The 12,913-nt window shown below is 38.5% G+C and overlaps 1 annotated feature.

The window, feature by feature from the left end:
• Positions 648-797: an enhancer, noted in NCBI's record as "active region_7774". NCBI's record gives its function as "activates an Ori minimal core promoter by ATAC-STARR-seq in GM12878 lymphoblastoid cells {active_cell/tissue: GM12878}" and the evidence as "EXISTENCE:reporter gene assay evidence [ECO:0000049][PMID:35858748]".

Genomic DNA, 12,913 nt, shown 5'->3' on the forward strand with positions numbered 1-12,913 from the left:
CCAAATCCAGCCCAATCCATGATTAGTGTTTGTCATCTATGCCTTGTACTTGGCACTTTTCAAATGTCCCCTTAGCTTGTTACACACATCTTAGGTATGAGTCCTGATCTTCATTTAAGGTTCAAGAATATTGGAGGCAGGATCTCTGTCTGACAATGATAAGTTGGCTGTTGGAGGTTTACTACAACTTTATAAAAACTTGATCTTTCTTTCTTTTTCTAGTTCCTCTTCTTCCTAACCTCAAAAATATGAACCTTCACAAACGCTTGCCCTTCTTCTCTCTTTTTTCTACCTCACAATGTTATGTGTTAAAGATTGATTAATGAGAGTATACATATGAAAGCCCAGGAAGGACTTAGGTGCAGATGTTTTAATTTTGTATGATGCCCTTCCCACTACAAGGTCCCCCAAGCACATGCACATCCCTGTAATGCTTACTAATATTGATAGTATTTGCCTCATGCTACATGTACTTTCTCAATGATCTCATCTACTTGGGTAGTTTCACTGTGATCTTTTAGGGGACAACTCCCCTTCTGCCTCCAGCTGACTCATCTCCCAGCCCCAGGCCTGTATTTCTGATCAGTTGTTCTGTATCCATCTCAGACTCAGCACATCCTGAATTGAACTTATCCTTCCATACAAGCCTAGTCCTTTTCTTCATGGAAGCACTGGATCTCAAGTCATAACTGTGCTAGATGTGAGTCATACTTGAAGTCTCAGAAACATTTCAGCTCCAGAATCCCCCTCTCACCCTCCCCTACCCAATATTGGTTGCCAAATCCTGGTTGAGCCTCCCAGTCTTCCTAACGTTCTATTTTTTCTGTATTCCCATGTCCGACCTTCATTAAATTTCAACTCCGCTCCCCCACAACCATAGATCCAAGCTTTTAGGCCTCCTGGTGTTACATGTCAACAAGCTATCCACAATTTGTAGCACCAACCAAGCTTTCTGGCCTCATCTCTTCTGTAATCCTCAAATCCAGTACCATCTCCTTATTTCACATTCCCAGAATACACCCTCCACCATCACACAATTAACTTGGCTGAAGCAATTTCCTTTGTCTTGAGTGGTCTTGCCACAAGGATCTTTATAATCCTGCATCCTCCAAGACACCTTAGAAATTTTACCAACTAAAATTAATTATTCCTTCTAATAGTAATAACTGCCCCTTATAGAGAACTGAATATGTGCCAGGGCCTTGACATACATCATCACATTTAATCCAGACCACAACCCAGCGAGTTAGTTATTATAGGTCCACAATCCCTTATCTAAAGCCATGAGGCCAGTTGTGCTTTCAAATTTAAAATGCCTTGTTTTTCAGAAGGGTAATACACTGGTATGTATCTCGGTTTCCCCACCTGTAAAATGGAGGATAAATACAAGCACAGTACGTCCCTTATGGGATTGTCGTGAAACAGGCAAGGTGTCCCTTCTAGAAGACCCAAGTGAAATTCCCATTCAAATGCATTTTTTGGGGTCTATTTGTTTGACCGTGATTTTGGCTTTTGAATAATGTGTTACTGGGGAAATGAATGGTTCTAACTTTACAGTTTCCTAGATGTAGCAGGAAGGTGATTTGAGCCTTCAGTTTCATTGCATGTTGTGTTTCTTTTTTTTTTTTTTTTTTTTGCAACTGTTACTTCTTTCTGCTACTTAGCCTAACCCCCCCCACCCTCCCTCCCCCCCTCCCCCCCCTCCCCACCATACTCAGCGTTTTCTATCAAAAGCCCAGGCCTCCTGCCACTGCAGTTAGAACCCTTTCTTCACTTTTCTGGCCTATTTTATTATTAATTCCTAACTTTCTCTGGCAAAAGAAAAATTATCTAGACAATGATTCGCTTCTTTGACAAAACCACTTCATGACAATTATACTAAGTTTTAGGAATTCAATGTAAGCATCACGAATACATTTTTTCCTTTTATATCACCATGGGTCTGGATGCAGAAGAGACCAAGAATTTAGCACTGGAAGAGACCTTGAATCTCAGCTAGCACATATGACCTGGGTTTGTCTAATTATCTATTATATTTGAGGAAATGAAGGAGCAGGAAGGTCTAGTGACCTGCTCAAGCTTGCATGACTAGTTAGCAAGACAACACTGGCTAGATCCTAGCTGATTTCACCCTGCATCTGCTTTCTGTCACTATTGATTAGTTTGTTTTTCCCAAAATTTCAAATAGAATCATACGGTGTGTGTTTTTTGTATCTGGCTTCTTTCACTCAGCATAATGTTTTCGAGATTCATCCACATGGTTGCATATATTGGAAGAATATGCTTTTTTATTGTTGAGTAATTTTTTTTGTAAAGACGTACCACAATTTATTTAGCCGTTCTTCTACTGATGGACATTCAGGTTATTTCCAGGTTTTGGCTATTATAAATAAAGCTGCTATGAACATTCTTGTATTAATATATGGTGTTTTGTGAACATATATTTTTATTTCCCTTGGGTAAGAAATACTTATGAGTAAGTTTGATGGGCCATAGGGTGGGCGCACATTTTGTTTTATAAGAAATTGGTGGTTGCTTTACATCCTCACCCACAGATGGGGTTGCCAGTTTTTTAAATTTTAGTTTTTCTAATGGACACGAAGTTATATCTTATTGTGATTTGGATTTACATTTTCTTGATGATTAAGTTGCATTTCCCTGATGGATTTTCATGCACTTACCAGCCATTCCCCGTACCTTCCTTTGTGAGGTGTTGGTTCAAATCTTTTGCCTATTTAATTGGGTTGTTTTTCTTCTTAATAGTGAGTGGTAAAAGTTTGTTTTATATTCTCAATAAAGTCCTTTGTCAAATATATGTGTTATAAATATATTTTTCCAGTCTGTGGTTTGCATTTTTGTATTTTAAAAGAAGTCATTAGAAGAGCTAATTAAAAACAAAATTTAGGCCAGGTGCAGTGGCTCACACCTGTAATCCCAGCACTTTGGGAGGCCGAGGCAGGCGGATCATGAGGTCAGGAGATCGAGACCATCCTGGCTAACACGGTGAAACCCCGTCTCTACTAAAAATACAAAAAATTAGCTGGGCGTGGTGGCGGGCACCTGTAGTCCCAGCTACTTGGGAGGCTGAGGCAGATGAATGGTGTGAACCTGGGAGGTGGAGCTTGCAGTGAGATGAGATTGCACCACTGCACTCCAGCCTGGGCGACAGAGCAAGACTCTGTAAAAAAAAAGAAAAAAAATTTTAATGAAATCAAATTTGTCATTATTTTCTTGTATGGATTGTGCTTTTAAAATTTCATTTTACTTTATTTTATTATACGTGTTCAGTATTTCTGTCATAGCATGAATCATGCTTTTCTTGTATCTTATCAAAAACATCTTTTTCTTTGCATACTCCACTGCCACAAAGATTTTCTCCCATTTTTTCCAGAAGTTTTATCATTTTAGCTTTCATATTTATGTCTTTAATCCACTTTGAGTAAATTTTTATGTATGGTGTTAGATAGGGTTGAGGTTCATTTTTTTTCATGTAGATTTCTAGTTGCTTTGGTACCATTTTTGAAAAAACTATACTTTCCCATTGAATTATATTTGTACCATTGTTGAATATCAGTTATCATAGGTGTATGTGTTTACTTATGTATTCTATTTTATTATGCTGCTCTACATGCCCATTGTTTGGACAAATCACACTGTCTTGATCACTATAGCTTCTTGAAATCAGGTAGAGTAATTTCTGCAACTGTTTCTTTTGCAAAATTATTTTGACTATTCTTGGTTCTTTTAAAATCCATTTGTCAGTTTTTACAAAAAGTCTGATATACCATAAATATGATATATCACGGCATTTATTTAGACCTTTTTAAAATTCAGCAGTCTTCTATATTTTTCAGTCTATAGGTTTCGTGTATATTTAATTTTCCATAAGTATTTCATTTTTAATGTTACCATAAACAGAATTCTAATTTCATTTTCCAGTTGTTCATTGCTTGTTATATTGTTTATTTTCTTGTATAGAAATACAATGGACTTTTGTATATTAACTTTATATCTCTTCTCTTTTTAATTTGAGACAGGGACTTGCTATGTTGCCCAAGCTTACCTCGAACTTCTAGGTGCCAGTAATTCTCCTGTCTCAGCCTCTTAAGTAGCTGGGATTATCAGCACATGCCACCATGCTGATCTATAGCCTTATTTCTTGAGATTTCATAAGTTCTATTATATTTCTTCTTGGTTCTTAGGGATTTTCTATTAATACAATAATTTTACCTGTGAATAAAGCCAGTTTTACTTCTTCATTCAAATTTATGTTTCTTCTGTTTCTTCCCTTCTTTTTCCACCCTCACCCTCCTTATTGTCTTGACAGATCTCTAGCACAATGTTGAATAGAAATGGTGATAGTGGATACGTTTTCTGTATTCCCAGGGTTAGGAAAAAAACATTCAATCTTTCAACATTAAAGATGATCTTAACCTTAAGTTTTTTGTTTTTGTTTCTGTATTGTAGATGTCCTTTACTAGGTTGAGAAAGTTACCTTTTAATCCAAATCTACTGAGAGATTTTTATCTCTTAATAAATGATGAGTTACATTGATTAATGTTCAAAACATTAACACAATGTTAACCAACCTTGTGTTCCTGGAATAAGCCCTCACTTGTTCACTACATATTATCTCCTTTTTATATCTTGCTGAATTTGATTTGCCAAAATTTTATCTTGAACTTCTTAGGCCTGAGAATCAGGAGAGTCAATGGTATTAGTGCTTGTCCGGAAGCCATCATGCTTCAAAACCAAGAAGAGCTGATTTTCCAGTTGGAGTCTAAAGGTAAGAAAAGACTGATGTCTCTCAGCTTACGCAGTCAAGCAAGAGGAGTTCCCTCTTACTCCGGGTTTTTGTTCTATTCAGGTCTGGAATTTATTGGATGAAGTCCACCCACGTTAGGGAGGGCAATCTGCTTTATTCAGTCTTCCAGTTCAGATATTATTCTCACCAGAAACTTCCTCACAGGTACATCCAGAGTATTGTTTGATAAAGTGTCAGGATATCCCATGGCCTGGCCAAGTTGATACATAAAAGTAACTATCACACCTCAGAAACAAACATTTGGAACCTTTAAATTTCAAAGTTGAAAGAGAATTAAAAATTCTCTAGTCAGCCACCTTGTTTTGCATGCAATTAAGTGATATCGAGAGATGTAAAGGGCTGACCTAAAAATCACATACATTCATTCATTTATTTAAAAATTCAACATTTATTTTAAAAACTTTTATTAAGTGTTAACCATATAATTGTCATTGAAGATATAAAATTAGTAAAAACAGAAAGTCATTGAATTGTGTATTTAAACAAGTCAGTGTTATGGTACATAAATTATACTTCACATAAAGCTGTTACAAGAAATAAGATCCAGTTCTTTCCATCAAGGAGATGACAGTTTAGTGGAAGTGTGAGACAAGCATAAATGATTACAATAACTTGTGAACACGCTATAACAGCTGTATGCTTAGCCACTTAGCACTGGAGTACCAGGGTTCAGGCCTTGGACCGTTTATATTTTCTTCCCATAACCACTCCCTTCATTATTTCATTCAGTGTCATGGCTTTAAAAATCAATTCCATTTTGATGACTCCCAAATTTTTATCTTCAGCAGATATCACTCCAAAACTCTGAGCTCTTACATTCAACTGACAACCTGTTATCTCTCTTTTAAAGGCTAAAGAGCATCTCAAACTCAACATGTACAAAACCAAATTCTTAGCCTTCCCCTCCAAATCTGCTCCCTTCTACAACCTTCATCTCACTTCATTAGCAGCTTCATCTTTCCAGTTGTTCAGGCCAAAAAACCTTTGACTCATCTTTAATTTCTTCCTTTCTCTCATACACTGCATTTAATCCATCATGAAATCCTATTGGGCCTACCTTCAACATAGATCCAGAATCTGACCACATCCAACTACCTCCTCTGCTACAATCCTGGCCCAGGTCCTCATCTTCTCTTGCCTGATTTATCATCTTATCCCCTAACAATCCATATTCTATAGCAACCAAAGATTCTGGGAACCTTTGAAAATGTAACCCAGATCAAGTCAGTTCTCTGATCAAATTCTCCAACAGCTTCCTATCTCAGTCCTAGTAAAAGCCAAAGTCCCTGGGCACGGTGGCTCATGCCTGTAATCCCAGCACTTTGGGAGGCCAAGGCGGTCAGGTCACCTGAGGTCAGGAGTTTGAGACCAGCCTGGCCAACATGGTGAAACCCCATCTCTACTAAAAATACAAAAAAAAAATTAGCTGGGTGTGGTGGCGGGCACCTGTAATCCCAGCTACTCAGGAGGCTGAGGCAGGAGAATCACTTGAACCCAGAGGCTGAGGTTGCAGCGAGCTGAGATCATGCCATTGCACTCCAGCCTGGGTGACAAGAGCGAAACTCTGTCAAAGAAAAAAAAAAGGCCAAAGTCCTCACAGTGGTCTGCAAGACCCATAAGATCTGGCCCTCCAACTCTACCTTTTGCCAATCTAGTCTTCATTACTCTTATTTCTGCTCACTCTATTCCATCCACATGGGCTTTCTAGCTGTTCTTGAAATATTGGCAAGCTCCTACTGAAAGGCCTTTGCATTTTCTGTTCCCTTTGCCTGGAACTGTCTTCATCCGCACTGGCCACTCCCTCACCTCCTTCAAGCCTTAACTCCCATGTTTCCTTCTCACTGAGGTCTTCCCTGACTACCCTATTTCACGTGGTAAGCATCCCCTCTACTCCACACACACCCCCTCCCCTAGCACTTCTTTCCCCCTTCCCTGATCTATTTTCTCCATAAACACTTACCATCTTCTAACATCCTACATAAATAATTTACTTATTTAGTTCATTGTCTGTTTATCCCTATTAGGCCAAACGCCCCATGGAGGCTTGTCAGTTTTGTTCACCACTGTTTTCCTAGCATCCAGAACAGTAGGCATTTACAAAACATTTGGGTAGTGGAATAATATGTACTTCTCCAGGACTCTTAAGAGAAGAAAATGAGCGGATTTCTTCTGTGACCAGGTCAGAGTGTTTTTTCGGGTGAGGAGTGCTAAGATGAGGGAAAGGTTGCTGGTTGTTAAGGAAGAGTTAACTGTAGAAGTGACAGTTTAATTGAGTTGTGAAAGATAATCAGGAATTTTCCAGGTGGAGAGGTAGATGGCATTACAGTTAGATGGAACAGTGTGTACAAGGCCAGAACATTTTGCAAAAGCACGGCATGGTCAGAAAATGCTGAAGAGTTGAGTGTTGGATTGGGGAATTGTGGAGCAGGGAAAGAGAATTGGTGGGACCAGAAAGGAGGGCTGGGAGGCCATTCAGAGAAAGCTATGGAAGACAAAGGCAAATTAGACCCCAGTCTCCCAACTTCCTCTCCAGCACCTTGTCTATTGCTTCATACAGCCTCCATTTTAAGTCTAAAACACATTTTTCTTTTGGCTATTATAGGTTAATACCTTCACTACCCATGTCTTCCTTTAGAAAAAAGAATGCTTCATGATCCCAGAGTGTGAAATTTAAGGCAGGTAGTTTAAAAAATGCACGCATTTTGAAAAGCAAAAAGCTGAAAGAATTTATATTTTAAATTAGATTATAAATTATTTATTACTCAAATCCAAAAGACTAAAATAATGGAAACTTCAAAAGAAATGACAGCTGATGCCTAGTGCCAGCCTATTTTCATAATCAATTTTACTCTGTAGAAAACAAAGTGCCATAGAGGGCTGTGGAAATAAATGTAAATTTGGGGGGATTAAAAAATGTCCTTTAAATTTTTTAGCAACAGGCAAATGGTTTTTTAAAAATTTATTTTAATTTTATTTTTATTTATGTTTTATTTTTCCATAGGTTATTGGGGTACAGGTGGTGTTTGGTTACATGAATAAGTTTTTATTTATTTATTTATATAAAGTTCTAGGGTACATGTGCACAACGTGCAAGTTTGTTATATATGTATACATGTGCCATGTTGGTGTGCTGCACCCATTAACTCGTCATTTACATTAGGTATATCTCCTAATGCTATCCTTCCCCCTTCCCCCAACCCCATGACAGGCCCCAGTGTGTGATGTTCCCCACCCTGTGTCCAAGTGTTCTCATTGTTCAATTCCCACCTATGAGTGAGAACATGCAGTGTTTGGTTTTCTGTCCTTGTGATAGTTTGCTGAGAATGATGGTTTCCAGCTTCATCCATGTCCCTGCAAAGGACATGAACTCATCCTTTTTGTGGCTGCATAGTATTCCATGGTGTATATGTGCCACATTTTCTTAATCCAGTCTATCATTGTTGGACATTTGGGTTGGTTCCAAGTCTTTGCTGTTGTGAATAGTGCTGCAACAAACATACGGCTGCATGTGTCTTTATAGCAGCATGATTTATAGTCCTTTGGGTATATACCCAGTAATGGGATGGCTGGGTCAAATGGTATTTCTAGTTCTAGATCCCTGAGGAATCGCCACACTGACTTCCACAATGGTTGAACTAGTTTACAGTCCCCACCAACAGCGTAAAAGTGTTCCTATTTCTCCACATCCTCTCCAGCACCTGTTGTTTCCTGACTTTTTAATGATCGCCATTCTAACTGGTGTGAGATGGTATCTCATTGTGGTTTTCATTTGCATTTCTCTGATGGCCAGTGATGATGAGCATTTTTTCATGTGTCTTTTGGCTGCATAAATGTCTTCTTTTGAGAAGTGTCTGTTCATATCCTTTGCCCACTTTTTGATGGGGTTGTTTGATTTTTTCTTGTAAATTTGTTTGAGTTCATTGTGGATTCTGGATATTAGCCCTTTGTCAGATGAGTAGGTTGCAAAAATTTTCTCCCATTCTGTAGGTTGCCTGTTCACTCTGATGGTAGTTTCTATTGCTGTGCAGAAGCTCTTTAGTTTAATTAGATCCCATTTGTCAATTTTGTCTTTTGTTGCCATTGCTTTTGGTGTTTTAGACATGAAGTCCTTGCCCATGCCTATGTCCTGAATGGTATTGCCTAGGTTTTCTTCTAGGGTTTTTATGGTTTTAGGTCTAACATTTAAGTCTTTAATCCATCTTGAATTAATTTTTGTATGAGGTGTAAGGAAGGGGTCCAGTTTCAGCTTTCTACATATGGCTAGCCAGTTTTCCCAGGACCGTTTATTAAATACGGAATCCTTTCCCGATTTCTTGTTTTTGTCAGGTTTGTCAAAGATCAGATAGTTATAGATGTGTGGCATTATTTCTGAGGGCTCTGCTTTGTTCCATTGGTCTATATATCTGTTTTGGTACCAGTACCATGCTGTTTTGGTTACTGTGGCCTTGTAGTATAGTTTGAAGTCAGGTAGCATGATGCCTCCAGCTTTGTTCTTTTGGCTTAGCAATGCAGGCTCTTTTTTGGTTCCATATGAACTTTAAAGTAGTTTTTTCCAATTCTGTGAAGAAAGCCATTGGTAGCTTGATGGGATGGCATTGAACCTATAAATTACCTTGGGCAGAATGGCCATTTTCACAATATTGATTCTTCCTACCCATGAGCATGGAATGTTCTTCCATTTGTTTGTATCCTCTTTTATTTCAATTGAGCAGTGGTTTGTAGTTCTCCTTGAAGAGGTCCTTCACATCCCTTGTAAGTTGGATTCCTAGGTATTTTATTCTCTTTGAAGCAATTGTAAATGGGAGTTCACTCATGATTTGGCTCTCTGTCTGTTATTGGTGTATAAGAATGCTTGTGATTTTTGCACATTGATTTTGTATCCTGGGACTTTGCTGAAGTTGCTTATCAGCTTAAGGAGATTTTGGGCTGAGACGATGGGGTTTTCTAGATATAAAATCATGTCATCTGCAAACAGGGACAATTTGACTTCCTCTTTTCCTAATTGAATACCCTTTATTTCCTTCTCCTGCCTGATTGCCCTGGCCAGGACTTCCAACACTATGTTGAATAGGAGTGGTGAGAGAGGGCACCCATGTCTTGTGCCAGTTTTCAAAGGGAATGCTTCCAGTTTTTGCCCATTCAGTATGATATTGGCTGTGGGTTTGTCATAGATAGCTCTTATTATTTTGAGATATGTCATATCAATACCTAATTTACTGAGAGTTTTTAGCATGAAGGGCTGTTGAATTTTGTCAAAGGCCTTTTCTGCATCTATTGAGATAATCATGTGGTTTTTGTCTTTGGTTCTATTTATATGCTGGATTACGTTTATTGATTTGCATATGTTAAACCAGCCTTGCATCCTAGGGATGAAGCCCACTTGATCGTGGTGGATAAACTTTTTGATGTGCTGCTGGATTCGTTTTGCCAGTATTTTATTGAGGATTTTTGCATCGATGTTCATCAGGGATATTGGTCTAAAATTCTCTTTTTTTGTTGTGTCTCTGCTAGGCTTTGGTATCAGGATGATGCTGGCCTCATCAAATGAGTTAGGGAGGATTCCCTCTTTTTCTATTGATTGGAATAGTTTCAGAAGGAATGGTACCAGCTCCTCCTTGTACCTCTGGTAGAATTCGGCTGTGAATCCATCTGACCCTGGACTTTTTTTGGTTGGTAAGCTATTAATTATTGCCTCAATTTCCGAGCCTGTTATTGGTCTATTCAGGGATTCAACTTCTTCCTGGTTTAGTCTTGGGAAGGTGTATTTGTCCAGAAATTTATCCATTTCTTCAGATTTTCTAGTTTATTTGCATAGAGGTGTTTATAGTATTCTCTGATGGTAGTTTGTATTTCTGTGGGATCGGTGGTGATATCCCCTTTATCATTTTTTATTGCATCTATTTGATTCTTCTCTCTTTTCTTCTTTATTAGTCTTGCTAGCGGTGTATCAATTTTATTGATCTTTTCAAAAAACCAGCTCCTGGATTCATTGATTTTTGAAGGGTTTTTTGTGTCTCTATCTCCTTCAGTTCTGCTCTGATCTTAGTTATTTCTTGCCTTTTGCTAGCTTTTGAAGTGTTTGCTCTTGCTTCTCTAGTTCTTTTAATTGTGATGTTGGGATGTCAATTTTAGATCTTTCCTGCTTTCTCTTGTGGGCATTTAGTGCTATAAATTTCCCTCTACACACTGATTTAAATGTGTCCTAGAGATTCTGGTATGTTGTGTCTTTGTTCTAGTTGGTTTCAAAGAACATCTTTATTTCTGCCTTAATTTTGTTATGTATCCAGTAGTCATTCAGGAGCAGGTTGTTCAGTTTCCATGTAGTTGAGTGGTTTTGAGTGAGTTTCTTAATCCTGAGTTCTAGTTTGATTGCACTGTGGTCTGAGAGACAGTTTGTTATAATTTATGTTCTTTTACATTTGCTGAGGAGTGCTTTACTTCCAACTATGTGGTCAATTTTGGAATAAGTGAGGTGTGGTGCAGAAAAGAATGTATATTCTGTTGATTTGGGATGGAGAGTTCTGTAGATGTCTATTAGGTCTGCTTGGTGCAGAGCTGAGTTCAATTCCTGGATATCCTTGTTAACTTTCTGTCTCACTGATCTGTCTAATGTTGACAGTGGGGTGTTAAAGTCTCCCATTATTATTGTGTGGGAGTCTAAGTCTCTTTGTAGGTCTCTAAGGACTTGCTTTATGAATCTGGGTGCTCCTGGATTGGGTACATATATATTTAGGATAGTTAGCTCTTCTTGTTGAATTGATCCCTTTACCATTATATAATGGCCTTCTTTGTCTCTTTTGAACTTTGTTGGTTTAAAGTCTGTTTTATCAGAGACTAGGATTGCAACCCCTGCCTTGTTTTGTTTTCCATTTGCTTGGTAGATCTTCCTCCATCCCTTTATTTTGAGCCTATGTGTGTCTCTGCACATGAGATGGTTTCCTGAATACAGCACACTGATGGGTCTTGACTCTTTATCCAATTTGCGAGTTTGTGTCTTTTAATTGGAGCATTTAGCCCATTTACATTTAAGGTTAATATTTTTATGTGTGAATTTGATCCTATCATTATGATGTTAGCTGGTTATTTTGCTCGTTACTTGATGCAGTTTCTTCCTAGCCTCGATGGTCTTTACAATGTGGCATGGGTTTGCAGTGGCTGGTACCAGTTGTTCCTTTCCATGCTTAGTGCTTCCTTCAAGAGCTCTTTTAGGGCAGGCCTGGTGGTGACAAAATCTCTCAGCATTTGCTTGTCTGTAAAGGATTTTATTTCTCCTTCACTTATGAAGCTTAGTTGGCTGGATATGAAATTCTGGGTTGAAAATTCTTTTCTTTAAGAATGTTGAATATTGGCCCCCACTCTCTTCTGGCTTGTAGAGTTTCTACTGAGAGATCAGCTGTTAGTCTGATGGGCTTCCCTTTGTGGGTAACCGACCTTTCTCTCTGGCTGCTCTTAACATTTTTTCCTTCATTTCAACTTTGGTGAATCTGACAATTATGTGTCTTGGAGTTGCTCTTCTCGAGGAGTATCTTTGTGGTGATCTCTGTATTTCCTGAATCTGAATGTTGGCCTGCCTTGCTAGATTGGGGAAGTTCTCCTGGATAATATCCTGCAGAGTGTTTTCCAACTTGGTTCCATTCTCCCTGTCACTTTCAGGTACACCAATCAGACGTAGATTTGGTCTTTTCACATAGTCCTGTATTTCTTGGCGGCTTTGTTAGTTTCTTTTTATTCTTTTTTCTCTAAACTTCTCTTCTTGCTTCATTTCATTCATTTGATCTTCCATCACTGATACCCTTTCTTCCAGTTGATCGAATCAGCTACTGAGGCTTGTGCATTCATCATGTAGTTCTCATGCCGTGGTTTTCAGCTCCATCAGGTCCTTTAAGGACTTCTCTGCATTGGTTATTTTAGTTAGCCATTCGTCTAATCTTTTTTCAAGGTTTTTAACTTCTTTGCCATGGGTTCGAACTTCCTCCTTTAGCTTGGAGAAGTTTGATTGTCTGAAGCCTTCTTCTCTCAACTCATCAAAGTCATTCTCCATCCAGCTTTGTTCGGTTGCTGGTGAGGAGCTGCGTTCCTTTGGAGGGG

This window comes from Homo sapiens, chromosome 13 (assembly GCF_000001405.40).
Source record: "Homo sapiens chromosome 13, GRCh38.p14 Primary Assembly".
Taxonomy (NCBI): domain Eukaryota; kingdom Metazoa; phylum Chordata; class Mammalia; order Primates; family Hominidae; genus Homo; species Homo sapiens.